The 21,781-nt window shown below is 47.4% G+C and overlaps 1 protein-coding gene across 1 annotated transcript in view, besides 4 other annotated features; it reads right to left on the reverse strand.

The window, feature by feature from the left end:
* The window catches only part of FKBP5 (FKBP prolyl isomerase 5), a 154,994-nt gene that overhangs the window by 130,936 nt on the left and 2,277 nt on the right, over positions 1-21,781 (reverse strand). The window contains exon 2 of the mRNA NM_001145775.3: positions 15,803-16,023. The gene's annotated coding sequence lies outside the window, so the exon portion shown is untranslated. The remainder of the gene's footprint in view (positions 1-15,802; positions 16,024-21,781) is intronic.
* Positions 12,974-13,539: an enhancer, noted in NCBI's record as "H3K27ac-H3K4me1 hESC enhancer chr6:35685276-35685841 (GRCh37/hg19 assembly coordinates)". NCBI's record gives its function as "activates a minimal SCP1, AML or CMV promoter by ChIP-STARR-seq in primed H9 embryonic stem cells {active_cell/tissue: H9 hESC(primed)}" and the evidence as "EXISTENCE:reporter gene assay evidence [ECO:0000049][PMID:30033119]".
* Positions 13,927-14,221: a silencer, noted in NCBI's record as "tiled region #8621; K562 Repressive non-DNase unmatched - State 7:EnhWF". NCBI's record gives its function as "represses a minimal TATA promoter and a strong SV40 promoter by Sharpr-MPRA in K562 cells {active_cell/tissue: K562}" and the evidence as "EXISTENCE:reporter gene assay evidence [ECO:0000049][PMID:27701403]".
* Positions 15,978-16,217: an enhancer, noted in NCBI's record as "active region_24411". NCBI's record gives its function as "activates an Ori minimal core promoter by ATAC-STARR-seq in GM12878 lymphoblastoid cells {active_cell/tissue: GM12878}" and the evidence as "EXISTENCE:reporter gene assay evidence [ECO:0000049][PMID:35858748]".
* Positions 21,317-21,493: a silencer, noted in NCBI's record as "fragment chr6:35693619-35693795 (GRCh37/hg19 assembly coordinates)". NCBI's record gives its function as "represses an EF-1alpha promoter that drives an FKBP-Casp9 reporter gene in an ReSE screen in HepG2 liver carcinoma cells {active_cell/tissue: HepG2}" and the evidence as "EXISTENCE:reporter gene assay evidence [ECO:0000049][PMID:32094911]".

Raw genomic sequence — 21,781 nt, forward strand, 5'->3', positions numbered from 1 at the left:
AGAAGCTGCTTTGAGACACCAAGATCAGTGGGAGCCTCGGGAGAAAGCCCGATAGCTTGTCAACATGTTTTTTTGGGATTTATAGATACCATATATCACATATAGGCCTTTGTTTATAAATTGTATATTTTTGTAGACTGAGGTACAAAAATACTTACTGTTTGCAATCCCAATGACAATATGATTTTTTTTTTTGCCTTGACAAACTGATTCTAAAATTCATTTGGAAAAGTTAGCATGTAAAGACTGCTATGAAAATTCTGAAAAAGAATTATAGCCCTACCAGAGATGATAACATAGTACAAAACTGTCACTGAAACCATTTGATTCTGCTGGCCGGGCGCGGTGGCTCACACCTGTAATCCCAGCACTTTGGGAGGCCGAGGCGGGCGGATCACGAGGTCAGGAAATCGAGACCATCCTGGGTAACACGGTGAAACCCCATCTCTACTAAAAATACAAAAAATTAGCCGGGCGTGGTGGCAGGTGCCTATAGTCCCAGCTACTCAGGAGGCTGAGGCAAGAGAATGGCGTGAACCTGGGAGGTGGAGCTTGCAATGAGCTGACATCGCGCCACTGCACTCCAGCCTGGGCAACAGAGCAAGACTCCGTCTCAAAAACAACAACAACAACAACAACAAACAATTTGATTCTGCCATGTGAAATGCAAATATATATATATGTACAAATATATATATATATATATATATATATATATATATATATATATATATTTTTTTTTTTTTTTTTTTTTTTTTGGAGACAGTGTCTCACTCTGTCACCCAGGCTGGAGTGCAATGGCGTGATCTTGGCTCACTGCAACCTCTGCCTCCCAGGTTCAAGCAATTCTCCTGCCTCAACCTCCTGAGTAGCTGGGATTACAGGCACACACCACCATGCTCGGCTAATTTTTGTATTTTTAGTAGAGATGGGGTTACACCATGTTGGTCAGGCTGGTCTCGAACTCCTGACCTCATGATCTGCCCACTTCGGCCTCCCAAAGTGCTGGGATTACAGGCATGAGCCACTGTGCCCGGCCTGCAAATATATTTTAATTAAATCATGCAAATGAAATAATATAAAATATAGAAATAGTTCTAACTACCTATGGACATTTCAGAGCAGTGAGGAAACATTTAAGTATTCAGTACTAATGGTGGAAAAACTGATTAGCTATCTGGGGGTGAGGAGGGTGAGGGGAGCTAGGTCCTTACCTCATTTCTTACAACAAAAATACTCCAGATGAATCAAAGATCTGAAGGTAAAAGATGAAACTATAAAGATAATATAAGGGAAAATGTTGGCTAGATGCAGTGGCTCACACCTGTAATCCCAACACTTTGGGAGGCCCAGGCACATGGATCACTTGAGGCCAGGAGTTAGAGACCAGCCTTGCCAACATGGCACAACCCCGTCTCTACTAAAAATACAAAAATTATCCAGGTGTGGTGGCTTGCACCTGTAATCCCAGCTACTCGGTAGGCTGAGGCAGGAGAATCACTTGAACTGGGAGGCGGAGCTTGTAGTGAGCTGAGATGGCACCACTGCACTCCAGCCTAGGCAACAGAGCCAGACTCTGTCTCAAACAAACAAATAGTTTAGAAATACATAAGAGGGGCCAGGCGCAGTGGCTCATGCCTATAATCCCAGCACTTTGGGAGGCCGAGACGGGCAGATCACCTGAGGTCAGGAGTTCAAGACCAGCCTGGCTAATATGGTAAAACCCTGTCTCTACTAACAATACAAAAATTAGCTGTGCATGGTGGCGCATGCCTGTAATCCCAGCTAATCCGGAGGCTGAGGCAGGAGAATCACTTGAACCTAGGAGGCGGAGGTTGCAGTGAGCCAAGATTGTGCCATTGCACTCCAGCCTGGGCAACAAGAGTGAAACTCTGTCTCAAAAAAAAAAAAAAAAAAGAAAAGAAAAGAAAAAGAAAAAAGAAATACATAAGAGGATACTGCACCTCACTCATAATGAAAATTATGCAATTTAATATAATGATATGCCATTTGTATCTACTTGATTTAAAAGTTTGATAATATACAGTATAGGTAAGAATGTGGGAAACAGGGCAAAGCCATTTTCGTTTGTGGGAGTGAAGATTGTGTAACCTCTTTGTCAGACAATTTAGCAATGTTTATCAAATTTTAAAACCCACATACTCAATGACCTAATATTCCACTTCCAGGAATTCATTCTATAGCTGTACTCCTACATGTTGGCCAAACTATATATACAACGATGTTCTCTGCGGTATTTGTAACAGCAAGAAACTAAAGACAATTTGATCATCAGTAGCAGGGGATTGTTTTATTAAATTATGGCTTTGCCATTCAACATATGCAACAATTTAAAAGAATATGGTATGTATCTATGTGCTTACATAGAAAAATCTATAAAATATATTAGGTGAAAAAGCAAAGCATAGAACAGAGTATAATGGATACTCCCACTTCTACTTTTTAAAAATCTTATATGTATAGTTAAATGTAATTAAAGTCCCAGTGGAACTTTATGGAAAGATATGCAAGAAACTCTTAACGGTGGTTATGCCTAAGGGGATGGGACTGGGAATCTAGGGAGGAAAAAGGACTCGTTTTTATTGTATTTCTCTTTATATTGTTTTAAGTTTATTACCAGATACTTGAACTACTTTCATAATTCAGATCACTGGTAAGTATGAGAAGACTTTTTTTTTTTTTTTTTTGAGATGGAGTTTCACTCTTATTGCCCAGGCTGGAGTGCAATGACGTGATCTCGGCTCACCACAACCTCTGCCTCCCAGTTTCAAGCAATTCTCCTGCCTCAGCCTCCCGAGTAGCTGGGATTACAGGCATGCACCACCACGGCCGGCTAATTTTTTTTTTTTGTATTTTTAGTAGAGACGGGGTTTCTCCATGATGGGGCTGGTCTCGAACTCCTGACCTCAGGTAATCCGCCCGCCTCGGCCTCCCAAAGTGCTGGGATTACAGGCGTGAGCCACCGCGCCCGGCCATGAAAAGACTTTTGACCTAACTTGTTTTTTTAACTTTTATTTTAGGTTCAGGGGTACATGTGCAGGTTTGTAATATAGGTGAACTCATGTTAAGGGAGTTTGTTGTACAGGTTATTTTGTCATCCAGGTACTAAGTTAGCACCCAAGAGTTATTTTTTCTGATCCTCTCCCTTCTCTCTCCTCCCACCCTCCACCCTCAAGTAAGCCCCAGTATCTGTTGTTCCCCTCTTTGTGTCCATGTGTTCTCATCATTTAGCTCCTACGTACATGTGAGAACATGCGGTATTTGGTTTTCTGTTCTTGCATTAGTTTGCTAAAGATAATGGCCTCCAGCTCCATGTTCTGGCAAAGGATATGATCTCCTGACTTCTGACCTAACTTGTGATAAGAAAAATGTAAACAAAGACCATGTTATACCTGTCAGAAAGATACATCATTTTCTCCCTAGAAGACTGCTACAGTTCTGTAATACAGTAGGTCGGTCAAGGTGTGGGAAAATATTATTGGTAAGAGCAAAGATTGATGAAACTTCTTCAGAGGGAAATTTGGCAATAACTAACACAGTCTTTGACCTGATAATTCCACTTCTAGGAATTTTTCCTGCAGAAATATTCCCATATATGCCAAGGAAGTAGGTAGGTATAAAGATCTAGTTCCTTACAGCATCATTTGTACTGAGTATAAATAACTTAAGGTCTGCCAACTGGTTAAATAAATAATGGTACATTCGTACAATGGAATTCTTTTTCTTGGGACAGAGTCTCCCTCTGTCACCCAGGCTGGAGTGCAGTGGTGTGATCTCAGCTCATTGCAACCTCCACCTCTCAGGTTCAAGAGATTCTCCTGCCTCAGCCTCCTGAGTAGCTGGGATGGGTGTGCACCACCACGCCTGGGTAATTTTTGTATATATAGTAGAGGTGGGCTTTCACCATGTTGGCCAGGCTGGTCTCAAACTCCTGACCTCAGGTGATCTACCCACCTTGGCCTCCCAAAGTGCTGGGATTACAAGCATGAGCCATTGCGCCTGGCCTTGTACAATGGAATTCTATATAGCATTTTTTTTTTTAATGAGGCAAATCTATGTATACTTGTAACAGAGATTGTTAGTTGTGCCCCAGTATCCATTCTTCTCTTCCCCTCTGATTTTTGAGCTGGGTATATGGCTATTTGGAATAAAGAATAAATTTCCCAGCCTCCTTTGCTGGTAGGTGTGCCCCTGTGTTCTTGTTAATGTTTTTGTTTGTTTGTTTGTTTGTTTTGCTGGATAGATGCAGATGTAATGGCAGGAGCTCAGACAGCCATATTGAAACATGAGGTAGAAGCCCCATGTTGAAGATGGCATAAAAATGACAGAAGGATCCTAGGTCCCTGATAATTATGGAATCCTGGTATTGCCTGGCCACTTACCTTTGGACTTCATTAGAGAGAGAAATCAATGTCTAATTTTGCAAGACACTGATATTTTTAATTTTCTTTCACTAGCAGCCAAACCTAATCTTAACTGATAGATATTATATTAGTCTGTTTTCACGCTGCTGATAAAGACATACCTGAGACTGGGCAAGTTACTAAAGAAAGAAGTTTAATTGGACTTACAGTTCTGCATAGCTGGGGAGGCCTCACAATCATGATGGAAGGCAAGGAGGAGCAAATCACATCTTACGTGGATATTGGCAGGCGAAGAGTGCTTGCACGGGAAAACTCCCCCTTATAGAACCATTGGATCTCGTGAGACTTATTCACTATTATGAGAACAGCATGGGAAAGACCTGCCCCCATGATTCAATTACCTCCTACTGGGTCCAAACCATATCACATATAATGATGTGGAATGATTTCTAAGATAAATTGTTAAATGCAAAAGCAAGGTGCAAGCAATGCATACAGTATGATACTATTTTTGGAAAAAAGTGCAGAAAGATATAACTATGTTCGCATATGGGCAACATTTTCCAGAAGTATATACTGTTTGAATTTTTCACCATGTGCAAATATAACTTATTCAAAAGTGAACTTTTAAAAATCAGTTTTAAACTAATTAAAAAATGATTTGTATTTCTAAACCATAACAATTTGATTTTTTAGAAATCAACATAGTTTGATGAAACTATGGTTGTTTTTTCTTTTCTTTCTTGTTTTCTATATTTGCAGGATTTTAAGATATTTACATGCAAAATAGAACAGTCCCAGACAATAAAAATAACTTATGCTTTAAATATTTCTGATTTGATGTCATGCAAACGCTTTCATTCCCAGGACCCCAAAGGTCAATATGTTGAACATACACTTTAGACTTGCAAGTCCATTCAGCAATATATATTGTGCATCTATGATCTTTAAAGCACTGCTTTTAGGTAAAAAAAAAAACAGACAAGAGATGTTTGTTCATGGAGCTGATGTTCTCACGGGACAAACAGGGTAATGCGATAAAAAGTCTTGAGAATTCCATTAGAGAGGGTAGTGAGGGAAGACCTCTGAGGAGGCAACATTTGTGCTAAGGCCCAAAAGATGAGAATTCCAGGAAATGATCCTAGCACATGCAGAAACAGAAGGATGCTCAGAGCAGTTGTGGAAGAACAAGGGGCAGGAAGAGTAGCTTCAGAAAAGGTAGCAGGGCAGCATCTGTGTGCTTCAGCGAGAGATCCTCTGCACCTAACCAGAAGTGCAAAACATAGGGCTGGGCGCAGTGGTTCATGCCTGTAATCCCAGCTCTTTGGGAGGCTGAGGTAGGAGGATTGCTTGAGCCCAGGAGTTCGAGACCAGCCTGGACAACATAGGAAACCCAGTCTCTACAAAACATAAAACAATTAACTGGGCATGGTGGTGTGCCTGCAGTTCCAGCTACTCAGTGGGAGGATCACCTGAGCCCAGGGAGGTTGAGGCTATAGTGAGTCATGATTGCACAACTACACTCCAACCTGCGCTACAGAGTGAGATCTTGTCTCAAAAAAAAAAAGGTGTGAAAAATAAAAAGCCAATGATACCAAGAGCTGGTCAAAATGTGGAACAGTTGGAACTGTCATACTTTGCTGGTGAGAACATACAGTCACTTTGGAACACAGTTTAGCAGTTTTCTTTTGAAGTTAAGCATACACACATTTGCCATACGACTCAGCAATTCTGCTCCCAAGACAAATAAAAACATGTGTCCTCAAAAGGAGCTGTAGAAGAGTGTTCACAGCAACTTTTTCATAATAGCCCAAAATGACAAACAACCATAATGTCCATCAACAGGAGAATGAATAAACAAACTATGGTATAACCATCTAGTGGAATACAATACAGCAATAAAAAGGAACACACTACTTAATATGTGCAAAAACACGAACAAATCTTATAAACATTAAGTTGAGCAAAAGAAGCCAAGATACAAAAGAGTATATACTGTGTGACTCCATTTATGTAAAATTCTAGAAAATATAAATCTAATCTATACTGGTAGAAAGCAGACTGGACCGGGTAGGGATGGGCCCTTGCTTGGGCCAGGTAGCGATTGATTGCAAAAAGAAACAAACACAGCCAGTGCAGTGGCTCATGCCCGTAATCCCATCACTTTGGGAGGCTGAGGTAGGCAGATGGCTTGAGTCCGCGAAGTCAAGACCAGCTTGGGCAACATGGTGAAACTCTGTTTCTACAAAAAGAAAAAAAAGCCAAGAGTGGTGGCTCGCACCTGTAGTCCCAGCTACTTGGGAGGCTGAAGTGAGAGGATCACTTGAGTCTGGGAAGTTGAGGCTGCAGTGAGCCATGATCTCGCCACTGCACTCCAGCCTGGGCGACAAAGTCCCTGTCTCAAAAGAAAAAAAAAAAAAAAAGAAGGCCGGGAGCTGTGGGTCATGCTGTAATCCTAACAGTTTGGGAGGCCAAGGTGGGTGCATCACCTGAGGTCAGGAGTTCAAGACCAGCCTGGCCAACATGGTGAAACCCTGTCTCTACTAAAAATACAAAAATTAGCTGGGCTTGGTGGCGGGTGCCTGTAATCCCAGCTACTCAGGAGGCTGAGGCAGGAGAATTGCTCGAACCCGGGAGGTGAAGGCTACAGTGAGCTGAGGCCGTGCCACTGTGCTCCAGCCTGGGCAACAGAGCAAGACTCCACTTCAAAAAAAAGGAGAGGAGAGGAGAGGAGAGGAAAGGAAAGAAAGAAAAGAAAAAGAAACAGGGAAGCTTTTAGAGTGGAGGAATTAATCTATATTGTGATAGACATTACACAGGTAAACATTTGTCAAAACTCATCAAACTGTACACTTAAATGGGTGCATTTTATCATAAGTAAATTATGCGCATGTAAAGTTGATTTAAAACACACAGTGTGTGTGTGTACTTACTAGTCTGGTACATTATGTTTCTACTTCTGTCTGTTTTTTTGTTTTTGTTTTTTGAGACAGTCTCGCTCTATCGCCCAGGCTAGAGTGCAGTGGTGCAATCATAGTTCACTGTAACCTTGAACTCCTGGCTCATGATCCTCCTACTTAAGCCTCCCAAGTTGCTGGGACTACAGGTGTGTACAATCGCACTGGGCTAATTAAAAAAAAAAAAAAAAAAGTAGAAACAGCGTGTCCCTATGTCGCCCAGGCTGGCCTCAAACTTCTGGGCTCAAGCAATCCTCCCGCCTCAGCCTCCCAAAGTGCTGGGATTATAGGCATGAGCCACACCTGGCCTCTCTGTATTTTCTAGAAAATAGCTTGCGAATAATTGTTTGTTACCCGCTCTCTTTTTTCCCTTTATCCCCTGCGCCAAAGTGAATTAAGCCTGTCACCTGGAATTTCTAACTATTAAGGCCAACTCCATCATCTCAACCCTTGCCACAGAGTTGTTTGTTTGTTTCCATTTTACAGGGGAATCTTAGAGAAGGCTTTTGCAGAATGGGAGGTGTCAGGAGAAAGCCCCAGAAGGGGGTAAGGAGGGTAAGGGGTGGTAGGTATCTTCCAGGGAGATATGCCTGGAAGTTCAAAGAGAAGCATTGAGACCCTTATGGTTTGCTAAGGAAGAGCTAGTTGGGCCTGGCACTAGGAAAGGGCCCAGGCTTTGTTTTGTAAGCCAGTTCTCTCACTACCTGCCCCTTCACAGCAAGGAGCCAGATTTGTCTACCATCCTGTCCTAGTTCTCAGAGATCCGAGGGCTGTCATTGCATAGCTAGATCCTGCTTTCACCCTGTCATGCAAACCGCCAACAGGTATCTCCCAAGCCTGGCAACATGCAGGGTGGTAAGCTGGCTACCCTCAGGGAGATGCTGAGGCACCAGTGCCTTGTCTTCTGAGACTCACTTCTGATGGCAGGAACTGGGCTGACCCTAGAACTGAAGCTGGCCGTGTGGCCTGGGCACTCCCCAAAACTACTTAGTAAACCTTCATCACAGTTTTGCTTTCCTGTTCAGGTCCTGTGGGCACAAAGCAAAACTAATTTTATCCCAAAGCCAGGTGTGGTGGTGGGTGCCTGTAGTCCCAGCTACTCGGGAGGCTGAGGTGGGAGGATCACTTGAGCCCTGGAGGTTAAGGCTGCAGTGAGCCGTGATCACGCTACTGCACTCCAGCCCAGGCGACAATGCAAGATCTGGTCTCTAAAAAAAAAAAAAAAAAAAAAAAAAAGAAGAAGAAGAAAGAAAGAAAAAAATCTTATAACATGAAGCCAGTATTAGTAGAGTGGGCATAAGCGGGTGGGGCAAAAAGAGGGGAGTGACTCCTTGGGGCATGTGGTGAGTGAGGAGGATGTGGCTCAGGTCAATGGGAGCCACACTTGTTGGGGGAACCTTAGGACTAGAATGAGGCAGCAGCCAAGGCCAAATCCTGTGGCCTAGAAGAGGGACAGCCCAATGGAATTTTGCCTCATTATGAAGACCGTTGGCTCCAGTGACAATATTAGCTAATGTCTACTAGGCACTTAATGAAGCTGGTGGTCTAGATGGTCTAAGGTGCCTTCACTAATTTAATCTCCAACAACAACCTTATGAGGTAGACACTACCACCCTTTGACAGTTAAGGAAATGAAGGCACAGAGGTTTTAAAAGACCTACCCTTCTAGCAAGCAGCACAGCTGTGACATATGCTCTAAGTCACAGCACCTCTCAGAAGTCAGTGTAGGAGGCTGAAGCTGCTAGCTGGCGGGTGGGGGCCCAAGGAGCAGCAAACGCTCCTGCCCTGGGGATTCTCCTGTGAGCTTTTTCCCAGACTTAAATGCTCAATTTGCATAAAGGGTAGCAGAGAATGTAAAAAGCAGCCACTTGTCCAAAACTGTGCAGCCACCCAGAAGGGTTGTGACCTGCCTCTCCGGACTCACACCCTCACATCCTCTCTCCCCTGCCTTCTTGCCCCACCTGTCCAACTACTAAGCCTTGGGGTCCAAATATTTTCTTGACTTCCTGCCCTTCTCCCTTCCCTCTGATTGTCAAAATCTGTCAAGACTCAGCCCAAATCTCACCTCTTCCAGAAATCCCTCACAGACATCCCTGATTGGAACAATTCTGTCCCCAGCCCATCCACTGAGATGTGAGGCTCTTTCAACTGAGGCCTGGGGTCACTTCTCAGGGGGTCTGTCTCCCTGGGGGCATAAAACCACAGGGCTTGCTTAGTAAGGAGCTGACACCCACCCATGGTTAAGCAGGTCCTTAAGGGGTTATGAGGACATCTCTCTTTACTGACTTGAAAAATCTTAGGCGGCCAGGCACAGTGGCTCACACCTGTAATCCCAGCACTTTGGGAGGCTGAGGTGGGTGGATCACCTGAGGTCAGGAGTTCAAGACCAGCCTGGCCAACATGGTGAAACCCCGTCTCTACTAAAAATACAAAAATTAGCCGGGCGTGGTGGCATGTGCCTGTAATCCCAGCTACTCAGGAGGCTGAGGCAGGAGAATTGCTTGAACCCAGGAGGCAGTGGTTGCAGTGAGCCGAGATGGAGACATTGCACTTCAGCCTGGGTGACAAGAGCGAAACACTGCCTCAAAAAAAAAAAAAAAGAAAAGAAAAACAAGATGTATAGGATTTTACTCTCAAAATGTATTTTCTTCAAAATACTCTGTGTTCTGCTGGGTGTGGTGGCTCACGCCTGTAATCACAGCACTTTGGGAGGCCAAGGTGGGCAGATCACCTGAGGTCAGGAGTTTGAGACCAGCCTGGCCAACATGACAAAACCCCATCTCTACTAAAAATACAAAAATTAGCTGAGCATGGTGGCGGGAGCCTGTAATCCCAGCTACTTGGGAGGCTGAGGCATGAGAATCGCTTGAACCTGGGAGATGGAGGTTGCAGTGAGCTATCGTGCCATTGCACTCCAGCCTAGGCAACAAGAGTGAAACTCTGTCTCAAAAAAAAAAAAAAAATTCTGTGTTCTATAAAAATAAAATAGGTTTAGCGTGGCAGATGTCTTACATAAATGAAGGTGAGCCCTACTTCTTCATTCCATTAAATTTATTTATTAATTTTTTTAATTTGGAAAGAAAAGGCTGGAGTGTAGTCGCACGATGTCGGCTCACTGCAACCTCCACCTCCTGGGTTCAAGCGATTCTCCTGCTTTAGCCTCCCAAGTCTATAGGTGCATGCCACCACGCCTGCGTAATTTTTGTATTTTCAGTAGAGACAGGTTTTCACCATGTTGGCCAGGCTGCTCTTGAACTCCTGGCCTCAGGTGATCCACCCGCCTTGGCCTCCCAAAGTGCTGGGATTACAGGTGTGAGCCACTGCTCCTGGCATTCCATTAAATGTTAATGAGTCCATTCATTTATTCATTTCACAGCATCTTCAGCCAAACTGGCTGTGAGTAAATCCCACTCCGCCACTTACTAGGCACGTCAGCTTAGGTCAATTGGTTACTTCATCTCTCCGTGTATCATTTTTCCCAACTAGAAGATGGAGATGATAATGATAGTACCTATCAAGGTTGTTATGAGGCTTAAACAAGCTTATATATATATGCTTGTTTATATATATGTATGTGCAAAGTAATCAGAACAGTGCCATTATTGCCAGCACTATTATAAAATGTGTTCCAATAGAGACAAAGAGGGCCCCCCTCAGTCTAGAAAGATTTGGAGTTCCTTGCTAGGTCAAGGAGGAAAGGGCATCCAGGCAGCAGGAACGGCATGTACAAAGGCTCAGAGGTGTACACCAGTACAGCAAGCTGAGGGAACCAGGAGGAATTCCATGAGGCTGGAACTTAACGTGCAGCTGGGGGCAGGCTGCGAGTTGCATGCTGTGCATGGCCGGCTGGCTGTGCCATGCCAGGCATTTGGGTTTCCAATCTGATGGTAATGGGGAGCCTGTAAAGGGCTCTAAGTTACAGATGAGCCGTGTGTTTGTGGCAGATCATTCTGGCATCCATGTGGAGGATGGAGAGAGGAGGATGGTATAAACCTGAAGATGGGATCCTTCCAGCCCCTGTGCCATTAGAAACCCTGGGAGGGAAGTGGTGAGAAATGCCAAGGCAGTGGTGGTGAGGCCTTAAGGAGGGATTGGATGGAAAGGATAGGGCAAGAATAACCCATGCGATATGAGGACTGATTGGATGAGGTAGGGGAGGGCAGAATCTAGGGTGGCCCGAAAGTTTCTGTCATGCAACATTAGTTACCAAGATAGGGGAGACAGGTGGGGGCAATGGCTCGCATCTGTAATCCCAGCAACTCAAGACGCCGAGGTAGGAGGATTGCTTGAGGCCAGGAGTTCGAGCCCAGCCTGGGCACTGTAGGGAGACCTCGTTTCTAAAAACATTTCTAAAAATTAGCCGGGTATGGTGGCACACACCCATAGTCCTAGGTACTCAAGAGGCCAAGGTGGGAGAATCACTTGAGCCCAGGAGTCCAAGGTTGCAGTGAGCTACGATTGTGCCACCGCACTCGTCTAGGCAACAGAAATCCTGACTCTAAAATAAAAACAAAATAGGGAAGACAACAGGAAGATCAGGCAGGTGGCAGTGTCTGTATGCTCTGGGAGGGGTGGGCAGAGGTGATGGCCTCAGTGTGCAGCACGGTGTTTGAGATTCATTCTCGGGAGTTCTTCTGCCTATGTGATGTTCCCCAGTCTCTCACACCAAGACACACACACTCTTAGAAGACAGTTACCGTGTCTTATGATTTCTGTGCCACCCCTCACCCTTCCTACCTGCCCCAACCCATCCCAGGCACATGCTCTGTACTCAGTGACTGCCGCTGAATTGGATTTAATGGAATCCAAGCTTCCTCCCTACCCAACTCTTGAGATCTGGTAATTGGGTCGCAAACATTACCCCCTGCTTGGCTGGTCTCTGGATTCCTGCTGTGCTGCCCTGGAGGAGTCTGGGAGAAGCCACCCTTCTGTTGAAGAGGGCTAGACTGCCTGGGACCCTGCTGCCAGTCCCAAAGCTGCCACATCAACCTTGGGATTGAGCCCTCTTCTAAGACTTTCCCACCTCCCCACAGGGGAGAGCATGGGCATGGGGCATCTGCAGCAATGGGAAGAATGGATGGGCTAGAGGGAGGAGTGTGGCAGTGAGAGCAAAGACCAGCCTCGTGTTTACTGGTCTCACCAAACCTCAGCTCCTTGGAGACCTTTGTTCCTAGAAGTGATGGAATCCTTACCCCACCCCCCGCCATCCCTATTCCTGCCAGGCACCCAAACAAGGTGCTGTCCCAGAGTAAACCCACAGCTCTTGAGCTTTTTCTCATTCCCACAGGGCCATCAGTAGGAAAAATTAATAGAAAAGATTCCAGTTGGATACAAAGCCAGAGGCAGCTGGGAACCAACAACTGAGCCCACATTTCCCCTACAGTGTCCTCAGCTCAAGGCATGTGAGCTGGGCTTGCCTGAGAGCTGAGGGTGGAGAGGAGCCTCCTATCATGAGAGAGCGTGTGAGAGTGTGTGCCTGTGCGCCCATGTGTGTGCACACGTGTGCCTGTGTGCCCATGTATTCATGTATGTGTGAGTGTGTGCTCCATGTGCACGTGTGTTTGTGGGGCTACATGCCCATGTATGCATCTGTGTGTATGCACGCATGTGTCCACATCTGTGTTGCCCATTACATGCCCACGTGCATGTCTGTGTGCACCCTGTGTGTATGTGCAATGAATGTGCACCTGTGGCAATGCACACCCATGGGAGGGGCAGGGGAGCTGTGGGAGCGTGGGGGACATTTTTGCAAACTCGGTGTTGTGGGCAGGCAGGTAGGAGTGGGTCTGGACATGGCTGTGGGAACAGGAGTCATGTGTTTGTGGTGGAAGGAGGATTTCTGCCCGGGTGTTTGTGAATGAGGACTGGACGACTGAGGTGGGGCAGCTGTGCTTCTGGCTGAGGCCCCGCCGTCTCATCCTTCCTGGGGTCACCTCCCAGGGCAGCCACCTTTGCCAGAAGTGCCCAGGTTTGATGCTCCAGCCTGGGCTGGCATGGCCAGCAGAAAGCACAATGTCTTGGAGGCCCAGCAGAAGGAAGACATCAGTCTCTGAACATTGAAAAGGGGCAGGTGAAAGTGTAGGGCGGGAGGAATAAGTCCCTTCGATTCCTCCAACGGTGGCTGGCAAAACAGACCCCATCTCCCTGGAAGGCTGTGCCCTAGGATGGGAGGGTTGCAAAATGGAGGCAGCTCTGTCTCTGTTCTAGTAGTGGAGACCTGGATGACACCACTCCCCAGATGTCCAAGGACTGGGGGGCCTCTGGGGGCGGCATTTGAATTAGGCCATAAACGATTAGGAGAATGTCAGAGGAAGGAAGTGGTAGGGGAAAGGGGGCATTCCAGGCGGCAGAAACAACTCGAGCAAAGGCACAGAGGCGGGAAAATGCAGGGTGTGCTCGCGAGAGCCAGAGGTCCTCTGCAAGCTGCCTCCCGCATGTTCATGGAAGAAAGCTGAGGCCCAGAGAGAGGAAGTGTTTCTAAGACCTAGCAGTAGAAATGAGGTCCTCTTACTCCAGGTCAGTGATTTTTGTCACCCTAAAAAGCTTGCAGGAGGGAACACCGGGGAATCGGCTGTTGGTTTGGTTTCCTTTGCTTTCTTATCCCCATCTAGGGCTGAATCAGGGATCCCTGTTCTTTGCCTTCCTCTGCCAGCAGCTAGCTGTGTGATTCTGAATAAGTCACTTCCCCTCTTTGGGCCCCTCATCTCCAATACAAAGGAGGTATAAGGCCCGGCCTCACCTGGGAATCCCAATTCGGACTCCATAGCAAGCTAAAATGTGGCTTAGTTATTCTCCTATCCTCAGCACCTAGCAGAATCTACAGCACAACACAGGTGCTCAAATAACTGTTTTTGAATGAAGAAAGGAAGGAAAGAATGAAAAGCATCATGACTCTTCCTTAGCACTCTACTTTGACAGCCTCAGCCTCTCCCCTCCCCAGGCAGGACAAAGGATACAGGAGTTCCAAACCTTGAAGAGGAAGGCAAGAAAAACAAATAATCTAACTACACAGGGGCCCTAAACTCTGCCTCTGGGTAGATGCCCCTGAGAGAACCTTTCCTTGCAGCCTTGGCCTTGCTGAAACTGTGCAGTGGGGAGGGCCTGGAGGAGGGGCAGGGACCTCTAGCAGAACAGGAGGCAGCTGGGCCTGAGCCACAGCTGGCCCTCCCCTTGCCCCCTCCCAACTCACAGCCTCTCTGCTCCAAGAAGTGTCCCAAGCCCTCTGGTCCCAACCCTGAGGGGTTGGGCTGGGTCTGAAACCTCCTGTTTCCCAGCCAATGATACCTTCATTTTTTCCAGTTCCAGTAACCCCTTTTTTGAGGCCTCCCTTTCATGTTAAGAACTTTATTGCTCATTTCCCTCTTCTATGACAGCAGCTGTATTTCTTTTAACTTTGTAAAACACACACATGATCTATGGTGATAGAAATCAGAATCAGTTGCCTCTGCGGTAGAGACTGACTGGAAGGGGGCACGAAGGAATTTGGAGGTGGTGAAAATGTCTGAAATCTTGATCTAGGTGATGGTTACATGGGCAGATATATTTGTCAAAATTCATCAGGCTGTACACTTAAGATCTGTGCATTTTACTGGATGTGGAATGTATGTACATTATACCTCATAAAGTACTGCTAGCATCTAAAAGATACACATACAGAAAAATACACGGAACGGACATGCTCAGTTTAATGAATTATTTAGCCAGCGCCTGTGAAACACCACCCACAATGCCTGGTGCCCCTGTGTAGTCCACAGAGCCTGGCTATAACCAAGCAGTTTCCCAGGGACACCAACACCCACAGACAGGGCACCTCGACTCCAGACACCATGTGCCTCTTGCTTCCCGGATTCATGGAAACACAGAGACCAGGGATGGGGCAGAGCCCACAGGCTTTGGAACCTAGAATTTCCCATCAGTTCAACCCCAAGCTTGACTGCAACTCCCATTCTAGTGAATTGAAGGAACAGAAAACACACCATTTCCCCTTTCTGGGAGGGGGGTTTCCGTACCCGGCCTCCTCCAGTGAGTCTTGGCTGAGGGGTGGGGGTTGTCCCTAGTTAAAGTCAAGGAGAACTGTGCCTTCCCTGCATCCCTGCTAAAAATAACCCCAGGCAGTGTTGCTGCCACTGAGCAGCAGGAAGGACAGAGTCATGTTTTGCTTTAAAACTAGAAGCAGCTCGGCAGTTGGGGGCTAGGGCGGGGTGGGAGAGCAGGCTAGGGATCTGAGAACCCTGGCTGTGCTCCGTGCACCCCCACCCCCAGCTGCAGCTGGTCTTCCGGGGGTGCCTGAGAGGGGTGTGTGTATGTTAGTGCGTGCACGCGCATGTGTGGTGACAGGGCCTCCCAGCAGCAGAGCAGGGAGCCAGGGAAGCCTGGGAATGGGTGGGGAGGGGTCTCTGTCCTGATAACTGGAGCATGCAGCTGGAGGGCCAGGCGTCACGTACTCCATGGGGTCCCTACCTCCTCTGAGAAGCGTTCTGTCCCTGCAGCCCACACCAGGCTCCCTGGGGGTCGGAGAGTCTAGCCTTCTGCAGCGTGGCTGCCTGCCCCTCGGGGGCTCCTTGCACACACAGGGCTGGGGATTGTCGCTTCGTAGTCCCTGTCTCTGTCTGGCTTCCGCTCTGCCCAAAGAGAATGTGAGGTCCTCAAGGGTGGGCGCAGTCCGGCAGCGAGGAATTTCCCTGGAAACAGGAAGTACAAGATGTGTCAATGCAGGATCCTAGCAGAGGAGTGACAGGCTGAGTAAAGGGAAGGGAAGAGGCCCTCCTGGCTGCTCACTCTTGCTCTCTCCTCCCACTACTCCCCTGCCTGTCTCATGCATCAGAGGCCTCACATTGTTGGTCTCTCTTTCTCTGTGCATGTCTTGGGTCCCCAGCTCCTTGGAGCCACGATCATCCTGCAGTTGGCCTCCATTTTCCAAGGTAACAATAAAGAAGAATCACCATTAATTTCACAGGTACCCCATTCCGGGCACTGTGCTGACCCTGATGTGGATGATCTCATTTAATCCTCCCAGCAAGCCTGTGATATTGGAATGATTACAATTACTCCTTATTTACAAATTAGGAAACTGAGGCTTAAAGTGGTAAAGTGCTAGTCTAGGATCCCACTGGTAGTACATGAAAAAGGCAAGGCTTGAAGTCATGATATGGAACACAGAGCATGTCCAAGATGACTGTCCAGAAGACAATAAGAATTTTAGGGCCGGGCACGGTGGCTCACACCTGTAATCCCAGCATTTTGGGAGGCTGAGGCGGGTGGATCACCTGAGGTCAGGAGTTTGAGACCACGCTGGCCAACATGGTGAAACCCCGTCTCTACTAAAAATACAAAAATTAGCCAGGCATGGTGGCAGGCGCCTGTAATCTCAGCTACTTGGGAGGCCGAGGCAGGAAAATTGCTTGAACTCGAGAGGTGGAGGTTGCAGTGAGCTGGGATCATGCCACTGCACTCACAGCCACAGAGCGAGACTCTGTCTCCAAAAAAAAAAAGAATTTTAGAAATTTGACCATTCTAGATAATTTAGGACACATGGTTGCTGAACTTGATTTTTTTATTTAAAAAACACACATATACACACACCCCAAAATAGTGGCTTTTTTTTTTAGATGGAGTTTCCCTCTTATTGCCCAGGCTGGAGTGCAATGGCATGCTTTCGGCTCACCACAACCTCCGCCTCCCGGGTTCAAATGATTCTCCTGCCTCAGCCTCCCGAGCAGCTGGGACCACAGCCATGCGCTACCACGCCCGGCTAATTTGTATTTTTAGTAGAGACGGGATTTCTCCATGTTGGTCAGGCTGGTCTTGAACTCCTGACCTCAGGTGATCTGCCCGCCTCGGCCTCCCAAAGTGCTGGGATTACAGGCATGAGCCACCATGCCCAGCCGACAATAGTGGCTTTACAGCCAAAATGCGTACTCCCAGTTGTGATTTTGACCAAGAAACTAACCTTCCTGACCAAGCCTCAGTTTCCATCTCTACAAAATGGGTGTAATAATCCTTGCAGAGGATTACTGGAGAGTAGTGGATTTGAACTCAGCCTTTTTTCTAAACCTGGAAAACACAAAGCTCTTTCTTGCCTTGAGGACTTTGCATGTGCTGTGCTGTTCCCTGTGCCTGAAACCCTCAGCCTCCAGATGTTAACGTGACTAGTTTATTCTTGTCATCCAGGTCTCAGCTCAAATATAACCTTCCTCATAGCAGCCTTCCCTGAGTACTCAGCAGACCCCCCATCACACTCCATCGCATCCCTATTCATTTTCTTCTTTGCACATATTGTGATCTGAAATTTTCTTACTTATTTGTTCTGTTTTTTTTTTATGGCCTGTCCCCTTCCCAACTGCCAAGGATATAAGTTTCTTGAAAGCTGGAACCTCTGTGGGGTTTAATGACCCATTCACGGTGCTCAGAGCAGCACCTGGCAAACATCAGCGCTTGCTAAACATTTATGAATGAATGAATGAATGAGCTTTGGAAATAGCATTATATTTAAGTGACTAACTCTCACAGGCCTTGCTGAGGGCTGTGAATGTGGGCTAATGGGGGATCGGAGGAGAGTGCTTTGGGCCTGGCTCTGGCCCAGGCTCAGCCCTGAAGCTCCCGGGCTGCAGGGAACCATGAGGCTGCCTGGGCTTCCGGCTGCTGCAGGATAAAGGTCAACTCTTGCTGGAACACGAGGTTCTGCACCATCTGGGCTTGCCTGCCTCTGGCCTCATCTCCCCGGGCTCTCCAACCTGCACTCCATGTCCAGCCAGACCAAACAACTCCCAGTGCCCACCAGAGAACACCGGGCTGCTTCACGCCTGTGTGCTTTTATACACACTGTTCCTTCTACCTGGAACGTCCTGCACCCTTGCTCTGCCTGGCCAATTCCTCTCTCCCTGAACCTTCTGCTCTGGCCACACCCAGTCCCCAACTTCCCAAGACATTATAATGATCCGTTTTTGTGCATTTTCCCAAGTAAACCAGGGACTCAGACTTTCCAAGTAGCCCATAGGAGGGCAGCGACCAGGTTTTGTGTCCCCAGTTTGTAGCACAATACTTGGCACACACACACAGTAGGTGCTTAATCAATGCTCAGGCATGGCCGGGCGCGATGGCTCACGCCTGTAATCCCAGCACTTTGGGAGGCCAAGGCGGGCGGATCATGAGATCAGGAGATCGAGACCATCCTGGCCAGCACAGTGAAACGCCATCTCTACTAAAAATACAAAAAATTAGCTGGGCGTGGTGGCGGGGGCCTGTAATCCCAGCTACTTGGGAGGCTGAGGCAGGAGAATTGCTTGAATCCGGGAGGCAGAGGTTGCAGTGAGCTGAGATCACACCACTGCACTCCAGCCTGGGCGACAGAGCGAGACTCCATCTCAAAAAATAAATAAATAAAATAAAATAAAAATTAAAATAAAAATAAATAAATAAATGCCCAGGCACAGGTGTAGGACTTTGGTTCCCAGGGCATTAACTCAATTCCTGGGACACACAGTAGGTGCTCTGTAAGTGCCCACTGGATTAACAAGGCTGAGCAATCTGACACTGGCAGAAGCTTGGGGCAAGGTGAGGCATAGGGCGTGGAGGTAGGAACAAATGGAAGATGCTTCCTGGGAAAAAAGATGGTGTCAGAGGGAAGAAGGCAGAAGGGATCTTGGGAAAATTCCCAGAAGACTGGAAATACAAAAAGCAAAAATAAAAAGTAAACACCGATAGATGGAGGTAAACAGGACTCTCAGTGAACAAGGAGAGAGAAATTCAGAAGGAAAGATAAACAAAGAAGAATGAACTCAGAGAAAGAAGAAGGTCAGAAAGACAAAATGTGCCCATGAGAGCCATATTGGACAGATTGCCAGAGACCAGGACAGACCAACTAAATACATTACGTCTGGGGTCCCTGCTTCATCCCCTGGGGGTAGGCAGATAAGGCTGGCACGGGCAGTGTGGTGCTGTGGTCCCTTCCTTGGGTGATAGGGCTGAGTGAAAGCCCACACATCATCAGGACATCCTGGAAAACTTTTCCTCTCTTAGCTCAGGAGAGGCCCTGTGATAGGAAACAAAGTACCCCAGACAGCAACTACAAACCTAGTTTCTTGCCCTTAGGCAAGCAACTTAGCTGCTCTTGCTTCAGTTTTCCCAGCAGGAAAGCGAGTCTGATTCTTACTTTAGAGGCATATTAAGATCATACTGAGTTAAGGCAGGTACATTAAATGTACACAGCCTGATATAAGTGCCAGGGATTGACATAATGGTGGTGCTTTCTCCCAAAGGCCTGCTGTAAACGGGTCCTAAGAGAGGCCGTGTCACTGTCACTGGGTGCTGCAGATAGACCTGACTTCAGAGCCCTGGAACCCAGGCTCAGCCCCTGGTTTTTGGATCCCAGAGCCAAATCAATACAACCAGGAAGTTTATTCCTGGGTGAAGGGTGAGGGGCAGCAGGCATGCCAGCCAGCCAAGAGACACACGGAGCCCACAGCCAGCAGGCCTGACTGTCCAACTCCACTGCTGAGACTGTCCTCTGGGGCCTTGCTAGTATCCAGATTTCAGCCTGTCGAATGGGCTAAAAACAATTTTCTAGCTGTCAGATCACACCTCAAGGCATGCAGGAGCTCCAAGGAGGCAGAGTTCTCCTTCATTTGAAGGGAGAAGGGAGTAAGACTCTGAGGCTTGAGAAATGGAGAATTTGCATTTTAGTTACATAATCTGAGCAATCTTGAAGACTATTTTGAAGTGCTGGCTTTGGCCAGGTGTGATGGTTCACACCTGTAATCCCAGCTACTTGGGACGTTTACTCAGGAGGCTGAGGTGGGAGGACTGCTTGAGCCCCAGAGGTTGAGGCAGCAGTGAGCCATGATCTCCCCACTGTACTCCAGCTTGGGCAACAGGGTGAGACCTTGTCTCAGAAAAAAAAAAAAAAAGGTGCTGGCTTTGATGTCAGACAGACCTGAGTGTGAATCTCAGCTGAGCTCTGTTATTTTTCTGAGCCTCAGTTTCCTTAACTGTCAAAGACGGCTAACAATAGCACCCACACCCCAGAATTGTTGTGAGGAGTAAATGGGATCCTGTAAATAAAGACCTGAACCTCAACCTTGGGTCTAGTAGTGAGTCTCCTGTGCCACAGTCTTTGGGTTCCAAACGCTGTTGGGGGTTGGTGTGCAGAGATAGTTCTCCATATAAGCAATCAAGATTAGCCATCAATGTGAATAATAATATCCCATGCTCCTGGGGGAGAAAGGCCAGATCATAAACGTATTGATCTCTCAATATCTAAGCCACTTTGAGGAGATTAAACTGGTCACAACTCAGAAAATCATTGAGAAATCATCAAGTGTCAAATTCCATTAGGAATGTGTGACTCCTGGGGGTGAGAGGATGGGTAGATCCCCCTCCCTGCCGCGAGGCCCCCACCTCTGCCTCTGTTCTCTGTGACTGACAAGGAAGGATCTGTGATTACCAGGTCTGCCGAGCTCTTGGAGGCAACTTACATAGTGCTGTCACTTGTCTAGCTGGGCTCAGGAATATTGCTAAAAGGCTTGGGAAACAAGGCTGGCAAGGGGAGAGGGATCAGCCTCAAGGGTCCAGAGAAACTCCAGACCTGGTGTGGAGACTCCACAGCTTTAGAGGCAGTTTCAAGGCTGGGTGATGGGAGAGAGAAAGGACTGGGGGCTTCACCCTTCTGGAGTCTAACTTCTCCAGGGTCTCTCTGCACCCCACCTTCCCACCCCCAGCAAGAGTTTAGAACCTAAAGACGGGGAGTGGGAAGCAGGAGACTCATTTCTTGATCCATGGGGAGTTGGGGAGCCCAAGTGGAAGATGGGGAGATGAGAGCAGGGGTAACTGACAGCAGGATGCCACAGCTAAAGAAGGAAGTATAAATATAAAGCGGCCAGTGTAGGACTGGACAGAGGCCATATGAAACACACGGTACATTCCGGTCCCAGCGTAACAAACTGTACCAGCCTTTTTGAGAGCTGTGAGCACTAAAATGGGGAGGGAAGAGAGCAGAGGTTCCTTCGAGGTTGGCCCTGCCTCCTCCTCCCCCACTTCTCCCACAGCTCGGGGCACCGCAGGGAAAGTCCTGATGTTCCTTTTGCAACCACAGGAAACCTACCATCCCTGCTCACACTCTGTACCCTGTTCCTCTCAGCAGCTCCAGACTGGGAGGGAGCAATGAGTGTGTATGCATGGGGGTGTTTGGGGGAATGTAGGGTGCAGACAGCCCCAGCAGCCCAGGTGACACCCGGAAAGGCGGCAAGCATCACTTGGATACTGACTGGAAGTCACAGCCTGTAAGGGCTGCAAGAGAGGTACAGATGACGGTGAGGAAGTGCCTTGTCCAAGGTCACACAGGCAGTTGTTCACCAGGGTGGGACCAGAGTGCATCCAGAACTAGGCAGTGCTGGGCAGCTCTCTTGGGTGTAGTACGTAGGAGTGGCAGGCCAGAGAACAGGC

This window comes from Homo sapiens, chromosome 6 (assembly GCF_000001405.40).
Source record: "Homo sapiens chromosome 6, GRCh38.p14 Primary Assembly".
In the NCBI taxonomy this organism is placed as follows: Eukaryota; Metazoa; Chordata; class Mammalia; order Primates; family Hominidae; genus Homo; species Homo sapiens.